At 36.4% G+C, this 14,844-nt stretch overlaps 1 protein-coding gene across 10 annotated transcripts in view, besides 1 other annotated feature; it reads right to left on the bottom strand.

Moving 5' to 3' along the window:
• Positions 1-343: 343 nt before the first annotated feature.
• Positions 344-14,844, bottom strand: part of B4GALT6 (beta-1,4-galactosyltransferase 6) — a 102,396-nt gene continuing 87,895 nt past the window's right edge. For all 10 annotated transcript variants that reach the window (XM_005258387.5, XM_047437943.1, NM_001378110.1 and 7 more), the window contains 4 exons: positions 9,057-9,244; positions 5,097-5,219; positions 4,381-4,482; positions 344-3,859 (listed from right to left, as the gene is read on the bottom strand). In XM_005258387.5, coding sequence (XP_005258444.1) covers positions 3,712-3,859; positions 4,381-4,482; positions 5,097-5,219; positions 9,057-9,244 — 561 coding nt within the window. In that variant the 3' untranslated portion in view covers positions 344-3,711. The remainder of the gene's footprint in view (positions 3,860-4,380; positions 4,483-5,096; positions 5,220-9,056; positions 9,245-14,844) is intronic.
• Positions 11,585-11,824: an enhancer, noted in NCBI's record as "active region_13200". NCBI's record gives its function as "activates an Ori minimal core promoter by ATAC-STARR-seq in GM12878 lymphoblastoid cells {active_cell/tissue: GM12878}" and the evidence as "EXISTENCE:reporter gene assay evidence [ECO:0000049][PMID:35858748]".

Here is a 14,844-nt window from a genome sequence, read left to right on the forward strand (position 1 = left end):
ACAAGTAGTAAATTGAGCATAACACACCAGCTTAGTTTATTGAAGTTGTGCAGGAAAAAGAAAATTTATGCTAAAATGAATTCTTAAATATTTATCTTGATATAATAGATTACTAATTGTTGTACTAATGAAAAATACTTAAATACTACTTTTTGAGATAAAAGGAATAAGGTGATCTCCACCTGTATTTAAGCTGTGGTTACCTTATGCTTATATTGCAACCCTATTGTCAACCAAGATATTCATCAATAATTCATTTAAAATTTAGGATAACAAACAAACAAAAATCCCAGGTAACCCAAAAAAGTTCCTGAGAGGAAAATAATTACATCTTCACACAAAGTCTTTAGAACATTATATTTCATAAAAGACAATGATAAAAAAGTACAAACATTTCCATGAGAAGCAAAAAAAGAAGTGGGATACAAGAAATTACTAGCATTTATTTCAGTGCATTTATGTAGAAGCCTTTCATCTAAATAAATAAAATAATCTTAAGTACACTTCCTCTTTCTGATAAACAATACTATAACCATTTTAGTTCTCTCAACCGGCATACTTGCAAATACAAGACAATAAATCTACAACAGTATGTATTTGAAAAACACATAAAGAAATATATCAAAGACAAGCAAAGGCCAAATAAAATGACAAAATCTGCTTTCACTTGTAGGAAGCCTCCAGAAAGAGAATATTGTATTGGACATTTTTCCATTTTGTTTTAAAATATCAGTATCTTGGCTGGCAAAAGGGTATATAAGGAAATTTTTAATACATAACTGTATCTACTTAATATTATAAAGTTTTCTTACTGAATAACTTTTCACAAAAACAAAAACTTAAATGTAGATTTAAAAAATACTCATAAAACCCTAGTTTTAGCAAAGAATTAACTATCTCCACTGTGAATTATATATAGTTCCAGCAAATGTGTACTCTTCTCCTTTTCTTCTCTACAGACAGGCCCATTAGTCATTACTTCTTTCTGTAGTTGAAAAGCACCATGTAATTTTCCCAGTTAGTGCCATAGGGACCTCCTATTAGCCCTAGGTCCACATATACGGGTTTCTTGACTTTGAGACTAGGAAATACAACAGATAAGTTATCAGAAGATGTCTTCATAATTTCAGAAAGATCTCAATTTGCTTGACTTCATTTGTTTAGAAATGAAGTAATAATACTCCTTCCATAGACATACCTAGCATTGCACTGGATATGGAATAGGCAATCAATACATGCTCATTAATAAATCCTCCAAACATCCTATAATTTGCATTTGCAATGTATTTGTTAATCTTTATGTAATAATTAATACAATGAAGATAAACGGGCACAGCTCTGTCACTCTCACAGAAACATATTAAGTTCACTGTTTATAGGCAAAAATAATTTTAGGTCTACACTAAAAAAGCAAAACAAACAAACAAAAAGCAAACGAGGTGGTTTTCACAGGATGACAAACTATATTTCAAAACTGAAAAAAAGCAAAATGTTTATATCTCACTCCTGAAACAAAAATTAACATCAGACTTAAGAAAATAAGGCAGATACTAGTAGTACTAAGTTTTCTTGAAACTGTAAAATATATATAAAAATGAAAAGATACCGAATGTGGACAGCTCCACATTGATCAACAAATGTTAACATTCTCAATCTCTTTCATTGACTTTAAAAACTATGTAATAGAAACAGAAAATGAACTAATACACAAATGAAGTACAAATATCATAATTTTCAGAAGGTTTGATTTTTCGAGTACCATAAAAAAACTGAAATATAAATATTTTGGAAATAGTTCTAAGAAATAAATATGAAAATATTTTGTTTGGTATCATAACACAGAAGCTATCCATTTTCTCAAAGTGTAAGGATTCAATTATTTTATGATTTAGTTTGTGGTCATTTGTGTTATCAATATTGCCATAAAAATGACACTTCAAAATAAAACTTACAATCTGAGATAAATAACCATAGTTCTGTTTTAGGTAAACAATCCTTGAGGCAAATATTATCCAAACGTTTCTCATATATAGATTTCTATTGCTCATCATTGTTGTTGAACATTCACTTTATAGATATTTAATTTTTTGTTTAAAATTTGTGAAAATATCAAGATATTTTAAACAATCTTTATAATTGCTAATTTTCAAAAAAGAATACTGTTCGGCTTTACTGTGGAAAAATTCATCCAAAATTAAGATATGTACTTGATATCAGGTAGTAAGACCTTTTTTCAGAGAACAGTCATATGAAGATAACTGGACAAAGCCCTGACACTCATGCAAACATGTAAGATATTACATATAGAAGACATTATGGCATCAGTGCACCAAATAACTCATCACGTATTTTAAGACAATGCTATTAAATTATGCTTTTAGATACTACATATAGAAGACATTATAATATCAGCGCACTGAATACTGATCATGTATTTTAAGATAATTCTATTAAATTATACTTTTAGAAAGAAAATTTTAGTAATTAACACCAGAGATATAATCTCTTAAAAGTGAAAAAAACAAAATATAGTTTGAATGAAACTAACATTCAAGGGTCCCCTCCAAAAGTGAAATTCTATGTCTGAAAACTAAACTTAAAATTTGTTTTTATCTACTAAGTATTTATCTTTATAAAAATAGAATATTTAATTCTTATCTAATAGTATAATTCATTTGTATATTATAAGTACTATTGGGTTTTCTTCCATAGATCATTCTTTTAAAAAAACTGACTTGATTTCTTTTTAAATGAAGATACTTTTTTTTGGCTCTTCTGAACTGGAAATAATAAAAGTGCTGTTCACCGTGAATTTAAAAAAAATACACAGTATAAACACACAACCTTGGAAACATTTTTTGAGGCACAAAATCCCTGACACACCAGAGGTACATGGAAAGACATTTAACATAAAGAGATCCTTTATATCATGTCACATCACAACTTTTAAGATTTTTCTTGGTAATACTCATGCAATATGCATAAACAATATGGTTGTGATTTCTAGCAAAATCAGATGAGATTGCAAGCAAGGAAAAACATAGGTAATCCCGGTAGGAAGAAAAGCTATTTAAGTCCTTCCTTCTTTTCCTTTAAAGCCTAAGAAAGCTGTGACTTCTTCCACACAAAAGGCTGAGGTCTAAAGCTCAAAACTAGTATAACAGTTTACTGTATTAGTTGGCTGTCAATTATTGACAGTTCCTTCATTTCACACAAGGGTTAACCTTTGTTTAGTGATGTAAATTTAGTGAGTTTTTTTCATGCAAATAAAAAATGTCTATAAAAGTCCAATAAAGGTATAACCGATTACATGCAAAACTGCAACACATCTAATTTTTAAACAATTTGCACACATTAATTTATATCACATATATACAAAATATGTTTAAACGGAAATAAAAGCATTCTCTTGAATTAAATTATAGATTTTAGTATAAAAATTTTCTCTTCGGAGGGAGCTCTCTTAACTTCCGATCTTAAGTAGTGGCTTCCCGTTTCTGCGGTGCTCGCCACAGGGGTGTGTCTCAGAGCAGGGAGGACGGGTGAGAGAAGGGTGACTGTATATAGTCCCACTCTGTAAACACTGTGGACTGCTGGCTCTTCTCAGAGAAAAGGGCACTGTGACACAGCCAATCACTGACCTCCACTAAGAGCGCGCTCCAAGTTTATGATCCAGCATTGTGGTCTACCTTGCCACGACAGCCACTTCTTTTAATAGTCTTCGATTGGAGCTAACTCTGGCATGAGGTTTACAGATATGTTTGTATACAACCTATCAACCAGTATTTTTGGCCTATATATTAAATTGTTCAGTCCATCGATGTACTGACGCTCCTTGGAATACCTTAGTAATTTATACCTATAGTTTTAGAGGAAAAAACAAAAAAGCAACAAAACATGTTCAAAAAGGAAAACTGATAAGGACTGTGTTCAAGGTCATCTTATAATTAAAGCACTTAATGCCCTTTACAATTTCTGGTTCTTGTGCATAATTTAAGAATCTCTAAACCATTATTCTAAATTAGCAATTTTACTACTCAAGAAATGCCACCTGAAAAAATTATTTTGCACTTTTACAATTAGACATCTTTAATAAATAAAACATTATGCTTTATGTTACGTAAATACTTTTACATAAATAGTTAACCGGGCTCTTTAACGTAAATATGTGTATTTATTAATGTATATATACGTATATCTCTTAAAAACAAGCATCAAAAATGCTTCCTTTTGTAAAGATTCCCTTCAGCAAAAAATACTTCCCTTCCATTATGAAAATTCCCTTCAGCAGCTTTTTTGGGGTTCAATGCATTTTTATTTACCTTTCATTTATTCAACAGCTTTGGAAACCTTGGTATCTGAAGATGACATTCAACTTACCGTCCTAAAAACTGGACTTCACCTCTATGGTGATGAGGAATTGACTTGTATTTTCCTAAGTCTCCCTCTGGTCTGGTTACATTATATCCAGCATAGTGAACTCTACAATGCCATATATGGAAATGAAAATATAGAGAAATAAAATATGAAAATGGGTTATGTGAGTTCAATTTTAAAACACAAAAGAATGCTCTAATCCAGGGTTCCCCAACCCCTGGGCCACAAACCAGTATAGGTCCATGGCCTGTTAAAAACTGGGCCGCACAGCAGGAGGTGAGCGATCATTACTGCTTGAGCTCCACCTCCTGTCGGATCAGCGAATGGCATTAGATTTTCAGAGGAACACAAACCCTATTGTAAACTGCACATGTGAGGGATCTAGGTTGTATGCTCCTTATGAGAATCTAATGCCTGATGATCTGAGGTGGAATGGTTTCCTCCCGAAACCATCCTCCTGGGTCCTTGGAAAAATTATCTTCCAGGAGACTGGTCCCTGGTGCCAAAAAAGTTGGGGACCGCTGCTCTAATTATATGCTGCCAATAATTTCAGAAAGCAGACTTAATGAAAAAAAAAGAGAAATATAAAACAGGGTTTAGAAACCTCAAACATATCCCATCCCAAAGAATGTTCTTGGAATGGATAAGTACTACAATTTACCTAATATAAATAAGATTTATAAAAATTCTATTAGTGAACAATTTGTACCTCAACATACCTGTTCCAAAGGTCATCATCTTCTCCTCCCCATCCCCAGAAGGCATTAGGAAAACCATTGATCTTTCTAAATTGTTCCACTGTCAGCCCACTTACACCACCAAAAAATTCTTTATATGGAAGACTAGAAAAGAAAGACACAGTATTCTAAAAATAAAATCATAATAATTTCCCATGTGAAATGAAGGTTTCAGCCTTTTATGTGCTTTGCAAAATATGCCCTTATATTCTATATAGACAATTATGTTAGAAAATGTAAAGTACACCAAGACATAAAACATTTTTATATTCTAGTGAAACAAGTACATGTACATGTGTTATGTTAAATGTAAAGCACTTATGGAAACCTAAATTTAATATTTAGTATACAAATAAGACTCAAAATAAAATCTGTAAGGCTCAAAACCCAGTGCCCCCAAATTGTATATTTTCACAGCAAAAGTAAACATGATTAAATATATTTATAATGGTCAATGCATGTCAGATGTTCCTAAACTAGTAACACTGAAAAAATTAACTGAATTATAAACGCATTATTTATTATATAGAGCAGGATAAATATCAATTACAAAAGACAATTCTAGCATTTAATTGTCTAGCTACCTACTTTTATAATGATCTTATCTGTTGGAATTATACTCTCAAAATATTCATGGATATTTACAAATATATTCATTTTCAATGCATTGATATTTACAGAAATAACTATTTTTGTTTGGATTTTATTTTCCTTACCCTTTCCTAACTCATACTCCAAGGAATGTGTCAAACGATGCAATGTTTTTAAACTTTTCTAAACTATATTTTTACTTAGCTAAACTGTGTGTTTAGGTATAGATTGGCTTTCTGACATTTAGGCAGCATCCCTAGACCTGCAATCCTGAATATATTCCCATGGACTGAAACACGCCCCTGGGGAGCAGATGCCAGAGCAGAGAAAACGTGACCATGCACAGCACCCAAAAATCAAGCTGAGGGAAACCTGGCTGCAACCACAGCAAAGCTGTCTCAGAGGAGGGAACTTTTTGTTAGACACTCGCCTCACATTCTGAGAAGGACGTGCTGTTTGCCAGCTGGGGTCTTGTGTGGCACACAGACCAGGGAAGACTGGTTCTTTCATGGAAGCCTAGGGTTGTAGGAGAAAGCAGTCTTGCCCTCATCCTAGGTCAAAGGTACTCCAAGATGGTAACAGCAACACTGATCCTAAAGACAACCATACTCTCCTGAGACCTCTCAAGGCTCACACTTGGGAGCTTAGTGTTCTGGTATTACAGTAAGACTAGCTGGGGGTTCCACAGGGCCAATAAGCATTCTTGGCACCGTGTACTTCCCACATCAGATGGATTATTCTTGCCCAGGCTAGTAGTTTAGGAAAAACCTGAGATCGTCAGATAGGGAAACATGAATAAATGTGTCTGTGTGCTTATTGACATGTATAAATCAGCAAGCCTATCAATTCCATTTATTGCTCTAAGTGGAAATAATCAATTGTGCTATATGAATAATGGAAAGTTATTAGGTAAAATGAAGGTATAACAGATAAACTAAAGAAGAGAAAACAAAACCCAACAAGTCAAACTCTTGCAGTGTTTATCTTACACTGTAAAAGTGGGAGAGACACTACACCTGAGAGTCTGAGTTCTCTGGTCAGCAGTAGTGTGGCCATCACTGTGGGGCAGGGACGCTTCACCAGGCTTCATCCCACAGCTGAAGTCTATGCACTGCCCAGACCAGGCCTTGATCTACTGCCATTCTCCTAGAGCTACATTCTAATTTCTCTACAAACGTCCAAGATGCCTAACCAATCCAGGGACTAGTCTAGATGGATATGAATACAGCTGACGCTTGAACAACACAGGTTTGAGCTGCACAAGTCCACTGATATACAATTTCTTTTTCAATAAAAGTTACATAGAATGTGCCTCTCCTGCCTCCTTTTCCATCTTCAATTCTTTCACCTTGCCACCCTTGAGACCCCAAGACCAATCCCTCCTCTTCCTTAGCCTACTCCACGTGAGGACGATGAGGATGAAGACCTTCAGGATGATCCACTTCCACTTAATGGACAGTAAATATATTTTCCCTCCCTTATGATTTTCTTAATAACATCTTTTCTCTAGCTTACTTTATGGTAAGAATATGGTATACAATACATATAACATACAAAATATGTGTTACTCAATTGTTTATATTATTGGTAAGGCTTTTGGCTAACAGTAGGCTATTAGTAGTTAAGCTTTTGGGGAGTCAAAAGTTATACTAGATTTTCAACTGCATTCCGGTGGCTGGGGGAGGTGGTCACCACTGTAACCCCTGCATTACTCAAGGGTCAACTGTATTTTATTAGAAATTGATATTTTCAAGTTAACAACAAATTATTTAGACAACAAATTCATTTAGAATTTAACAATAAATTAATTTAGAATTCTTAGTTTATATGCCCTTTATGATTTTTTTTTTTTTTTTTTTTTTTTTTTTTTTTTTTTGTGAAAATCGGTTACCCTGGATCTAATGTGATTCTAGCAAACTGACTGAAATCAAGTTTCCAGAAGTGGTAAGAACCAGATTGTTGCCGGGCACGGTGGCTCATGCCTGTAATCCCAGCACTTTGGGAGGCCGAGGCGGGTGGATCACAAGGTCAGGAGATCAAGACTATCTTGGCTAACACAGTGAAACCCCGTCTCTACTAAAAATACAAAAAAATTAGCCAGGCGTGGTGGCAGGCGCCTGTAGTCCCAGCTACTCGGGAAGCTGAGGCAGGAGAATGGCGTGAACCCGGGAGGCAGAGCTTGCAGTGAGCCGAGATCGCACCACTGCACTCCAGCATGGGCGACAAAGCGAGACTCTGTCTCAAAAAAAAAAAAAAAAGAAAAAGAGAACCAGATTGTGAACCTTGATGGCCTTCTTCAAGGTAACCCCATACTCAAAGTTCAGATACAGAGGTAATAAAGAAAAAGGTTTTCTAATGATAACAATGACCAGCAAAAAAAAAGGAAGGAGGAGGAGAAGGATGAGGTGGAGAAGGAGAAGCAGGAAGGAAGGAAGGAAGAGGAAGAAGGGGGGAGGGGGAAGAAGGGGAGCGGAAGCGGGGAGGGGGAAGGAGGGGAGCGGGAGTGGGGAGGAGGAGTGGGGAGGAGGAAGAGGAAGAAGAAGAAAGAAACAAGCATTCTTTTCCTGCTTGTGTCAGACTTTTTGCTTCTCTGTACTCTAGATTAGCACCAGGCAAAACTGTGACACAGGCAACATCTTCCTGCCCTAAGCAACAAACAGATTTTCTCTCTACTCCCATTAGGCCAATGAAAACTGTGATCCTTTTCCCATATTAGACTTGCATTCTTTCATGTCCTTTTAAGTTACTATCTCAGCTCTGATAACTGTTCATTTTAAATTATCTCCAATTAGAGAAGGAAAAGATTTGGGTTTTTTTTTTTTATTATTAAAGGGCAGGTCAAGAATGCACACCTTAGGAAGAAGATAAACAGCAGAAGAGAGGGCTTTGTGGCCCTCCAAACCATCACTGGGGGAGAGCAGGCAGGAGTCAAGATGAGTTATGCACCTACCACACAGCAGGCACAGAGCACATGTGATCTCACAGCAGCTCTATGGATGGAATCTATTATCCCAGTGAACAAGGAATACACCTTCAGAGATGCAAGTGACTAACCTATAAGTCCTGGAACTGTAAGTGTGAGAACCCAAGTTTAAATCTGTGTGTGCTTGACCACAGAAACCAGGCTCTCTTTCCCACCACACCACATTCAAACCTCTGTGTAAGGAAGCACCCAGGGGAACGAAAAGCCACTCTGTGTCCTGGCTCCCCAGGAGGACACGATGGAGTTAAAGATGATATTCTTGGGGTTCTTGAGTTCTCTCAGATTTAGGGACATAACGCTGCTACCATTTCAATGCTATGACTGTGCAATTATATCGTACAATATCAGGAATAGTGCACACTACTTACATATACATGTATTTATCCAGCTTTGCAGCAAAATGACGTGGCATTTCTCCACATCCGTAATAGTTCCGGTCATTTTCAGGTAGATGATCCACATCGTGGAAGATTACACAGTCCCAGACACTGTCTTTCATGGCCTCTTTGAAGCCCACATTGAAAAGCATCGCACGGTTAAAAGGTTGTGTGCCAGTCTTCATGGAGCAGACCGAGAGAAAAAAATAGAAATGTACTCACACTTCATCATCTTTTTTTTTTTTTTTCTTTTTTTTGGTATTTTTAGTAGAGATGGGGTTTCACCATGTTGGCCAGGCTGGTCTCGAACTACTGACCTCGTGATCCACCCACCTCAGCCTCCCAAGGTGCTGGGATTGCAGGTGTGAGCCACCGCGCCCGGCCCCCATCTGACTTTTTTCTATTATTTTTCAAACTTGTTGCATCATGATCAAATGATTACAATAATTAGACCCAAATGAAATAGACAAATAATAAATATACTTCAGGATTTTCAAATACACTGTTTAAATTTACTTACTATATTATTTTATAATTTAATAACATAGAAGAAAACAGTATCTAGTCCATTGGTACATCAGCACATTTAAATAATTTGTATTTCTGCTCTACTTCAAATACATCAGGATATAGATTACTTGTGGCGAGAAAAAAAAAGTCATTAAAAATAATATAAGTTTTATTTTGTTAGTGGAGCTTTCCATATGCTGTCAAGACTAAGAGAAGAGGAAACTGGAAGTGACTCAACAGTGACCCTTCTCTAAAGTACCAATACCAAGGAGGTCTAACTTTCTATTATTAATGCTTATAATAAATACCAAGAACATTTTAGACAAAAAACAATTGGAACTTACTACACAAAGCCCAACTTCCTTTATTACAACCATTTTCCTTTATTATTACAGAAAATACATTAAAGTACATGGGCAATAGTTTCTATTATTGCTTATGATAAAGATTAAGGGCATTTTTAAGGGACAAAAAATACAATTTTATTACACAGAACCCAACTCCCTATATTATAACCATTTTCCTTTATTTATCAGTGAACATATATTAAGGTGCACTGGCAATAAAAAACCTTCATTCTGCATATAAAGAAAATTAAAGAGCATTTACCAGTGTTTTAGCAACATTTAACAAAACCATTTCTAAAATATATTAAAAAAAGGATTACGATAGAAGTAAATGAGACACACATTGTAGTCATCATCAGAGCACTGCCTCAAGAGTGAAAAATTACTAATTTTTAGTCCTAGGCCTTGCACTAACTTGAGGTAATAGAAGTCATTTTATTTTTTACAGCCTCTTTTTTCACCAGTGAAATAAAATAAAAAGAAAAGGGAGTTAAATTATAATGTTATGACTAGTACATCAACATCAGCTTTAACAAACTACTTTTAAGGTTTTAAAAATTGTTTTTATTAAATGTTTTATTAAATGTGGACATAATACTCAAAGGCTTATAAAAGAAATAAGAAGTTCCATATCTAATCCATCTCCATCCAAGAGCAATACATTTCAACTCTTCCCATTTATTCCGGTATTTATCTACATATTTTGAGGAAATGAGAGTTCTGATATTTCTTGCTTCTTTCACTTTAAGACACTGTCTCTTGACTTCTTATCATGGTAGTGGAGGAGTTAAACCACCACACCTCCTGCCCCTACCTCTATTCTCCCAATATAGTTTTATCATAATTTTTGGTTAAATCAAGACTTTACATTATTAGGACTATGTAAATATTTAATATTTCTTCAGTGCTGAGTGAACTGTTTTCTTTTGCAAACTGGGAATAACTACAGTTTTCTATATAACTATTATATTATTACTTTGTACTGAAGGCCCAAGAAATATGCCCTACACCTATTAATAATTGATGTAATCATTCAAACACATCAAATCATCTATCAATTCTTTCTCCATCTCTCAAGCCCAACTCTCCCTTGCCCTCTCCAGACCATGTGTGCATATCACCTGGGTCGTCTTCATTCCCTAAATCACCTACGCCTTTTCCTTGGCTTTCTCAATTTCCTGAGGCACATTCTTCAAGAGCTTGCTAAGTAAAGACCCATGGAGAATACACTTTTAGCCAATTAAGGACTGAAAATGCCATTAGTCTACTCTCACATTTGTCAATTTGGCTGGGTAAAAAATTCCAGGAAAAAAAAATTTCCCAGTATTGCTGAGAATGTTCATAGGTTTCTGATTCATAATCATTGGTCATTTTTCCTAGAATTCCCAGTATCCCTCATCCTTTGCCTATGAAAGCCCTGAGATCCTGGCAGGAAGAGACACAAGCAGGTGGACGTCGAGAGGAACACACCAGCGATAAAGTTGCTCCTCTACTTAAGAACCTCCAGAAGGCAGTGGGGGGTTTTAAGCGGAGGAGAGACTTACATTAGGTCAGCATACATTAATATAAAACTACCACCTATCACATACATTTAAATGTGAAATATGAGGTAACAATACCAAAAGTGGTACAAGCTGGCATGGAGAACTGGTCTTCAAGTGTTATCAGACCTTCTTTCGGTTTCTAAAACATCACTTTATCCAGTGTCATCTGAAGGTTTTATGTAGAAGAGTGACTTAATCTACCTAACACAGGATAATCCAAGCCCTCACCCTGCACTTCCTTATTTGCTTCTCTGATTTCCTCCCCAGAATGTTCCTCAGCCGGCTGCTCTGGCAACATCGACCTCTTTGCTCAAACACACCAAGTATTCTCCTGCCTTCTCCAGAGTGCACAGCCTCTACAACAGCATGGCGTGCTCCTTTACATCATTCCAGGATGCTCTGATCTCACCTCCCCAGAGAGGCCTTCCCCAAATGCTCTGCAGAAAAGAGCACCACTACCTGCCCTTACCACTCTCTACCCTGAGTGCCATGGAGACACTGCAGAATGATTTACTACTGCCGGTCCTTCTGGGCCAGCAAAAGAAGGGGACTTGTCTGGTTTGTTCACTGCCACATCCCTTTTGTTGAATAAATGAAACCGGGCTGCAGGGACCTGATAAAGTGACAGGCTGGCCTTTTCTTTTGGAGACCTTCAAATATCAGATCTGGACTCTTTTTCCTGGAGATAATTCATTTCTCTAGCGAAGACACCACTATGCCCTGCCACAGCTGGAGGGGTGGGGAGATTCACACCTGGCTGTTGGCTTCAAAAGGCCAGACGGGGAAAGGCCTGGGGTCCCTAGGGTCAGCATGCAGATTTACTCAACCCCCCGGTTTTATGCCCTACCACACAGGTGCGTCAGCACTCTCAGCAGCTTCCTGCTACACTTTTTCCACAGGATAAACTGGAAAAAGTTTCTACAAGATACAACAGAGTAATGACCTGGCAGTACAAGTAAAGATGAGCAACTGGGAATGTGGCTGTTTTGTAGTCAAACTTTTAAACAATCTCCTTACTTTAGTGCAGTGCTTCAGCCTACCTTCTGTGACAGCACTGAGACAGAGGTGTGTCCAGCAAATTGACTCTAGTCTTGTCACATCACCCTCTACAAGCATGTGGGTTTGCACATCCTCTGTTCTGCTAGGCATCAGCACTCCATCTGCTTCCTGACTTAACCGAAACGTGTGAAAATCTCTCACCCACGACTTTCTGTCCTTGAGGTTTAATAACTTTTCAAAAGTTTTCTTCTTTCACTCTCATTTTAGGAGTTTGGAAAGAAGCAGTGAACCCATGTCCATCCTCTATATTTAACTAGAATTCCTGAGCTGCTCTTCAACTGCTTAGCACTCCCTGGGTACCTGTCTAGCAGAAAAATTACTTTTCTATTTCAAATATGGTGAAGATGTTTCTAGCTCAAAATCTCACTCTATCAAATACACAGTCCTGAATTAATATTGATCAAGCCTGAGATTAAGACTTAAAAGGTTTGAAAATAAAAACGCAGACCTTAGTTGCCTTGCAAAGATTGTTTCATCACATACACCAAATAACTGGTGCTGAATTCTCAGGACCATATGCCTTTAAAAACAGAGACAGGCTGCAGTGACTCATGCCTGTAGTCCCAGCACTTTGGGAGGCCGAGGAGGGTGGATCACAAGGTCAGGAGATCGAGACCATCCTGGCCAACCCTGTCTCTACTAAAAATACAAAAATTAGCTGGGTGTGGTGGCACATGCCTGTAATCCCAGTTACTCGGGAGGCTGAGGCACGAGAATCACTTGAACCCAGGAGGCAGAGGTTGCAGTGAGCCGAGATCACGCCACTGCACTCCAGCCTGGCGACAGAGCGAGACTCCATCACAAAACAAACAAACAAACAAAAAAAAAAAAAACCAGAGACAGCTCTCTCACCTCTCCACACATTATGGGGAATTGAAGTTTACACAAAGGAAACTAGCACTTTCCTAGATCAGTAAAACTGATCTAGAAATCTACAACTACAGCTCCATGAAAGTAGATGAGAATTTCCACTTGTTAGGTAAAACAAGTCAGATTTCACAGTACAGATTGTTACATTAAAAAGTACATAAGGCACAAAACTTAAAGAATGATTTATACACACAGAAGTATGGTATGTTATATTAAATACCAAGCATTTCCACGGAGAAAAAGCAGAGGTAAAAAGCTGAGAGTGAGAAACAAAACAAAAAACAAAACAAAACAAAAAGGCAGATTTAGAATAAAGGAACTGGAGAAACTATAACCATTTTAGGAATAAAAATTTGAGTATTTTCCAAAAATAAGCCAGGCATGATGGTGGGTGCCTGTAATTCCAGCTACTCGAGAGGCTGAGACAGGAGAATCGCTTGAACCTGGGAGGCAGAAGTTGCAGTGAGCTGAGATCGTGCTATCGCACTCCAGCCTGGGCGACAGAGGCAGACTCTGTCTCAAAAAAAAACTTTTTTGAGTATTTTCTACCAAAAGAGAGAAGATAAAAGTATCTAATAATACAAGCCAGGTAACTTTGTCTATCATTTATACTGTTACTTACCTATTCAAAACTAAGGAAATAAAGCCTAGCAGACCTTTTAGTAGAAACTGACAAGCAGAGTCAATGGAACACAGAGACCAGAAAAAGACCTGCATACATATGACGTGTATATATTAAGTGATTTTCAACAAAGATGCTAAAGCAATTCAATGGCGAAAACAGTCTTTGCAACAAGTGGTGATGAAACAACTAAACGAAACTTCACTCTTAGCTCATATCATATCTAAAGATTAACTCAATGATTAGCCTAAGTGTAAGAGCTAAAACTATTAAGTTTCTGGAAGAAAGAGAAAATCATACAGAACAATTTCTCAAATATAATACAAAAAGCCCAAGCTATAAAAACAAAAATCAATACATTGGACTTCATCAAAATTTAAAACTTTTCAAAAAACAGTCAAAAGAATAAAAAGGCAAGCCATAGACTATATTTGCAAAACTTATGTCTTACAAAAGACTTGTATTTAAAATACATAAATAATTCTTACAACTCAGTAAAAACAAAGACAACCCAATTAAAATATGAGAAAAAGATCTGAACAGAAACTTCACCATAGAAGGTATGTGGGAAGCAAATAAGTGCATGAAAAGATCATCAACATTAATCATCAGGGAAATAAGATACTACCACAGACCCACTAAATGGCTAAAATTAAAAAGACAAACCATACCAAGTGCTGGCAATGATGTAAAGCAATTGGAAAGGTCAGTATACATTAACAGAAAATTACCATCTATCACATACACTTAAATATGAGGTGACAATACCAAAAGTGATACAAGCTGCTATGGAGAACTGGTCTTTAAGTGTTATCAGATCTTTTTTA

The sequence above is a fragment of the Homo sapiens genome, chromosome 18, assembly GCF_000001405.40.
Source record: "Homo sapiens chromosome 18, GRCh38.p14 Primary Assembly".
Classification (NCBI taxonomy): Eukaryota; Metazoa; Chordata; class Mammalia; order Primates; family Hominidae; genus Homo; species Homo sapiens.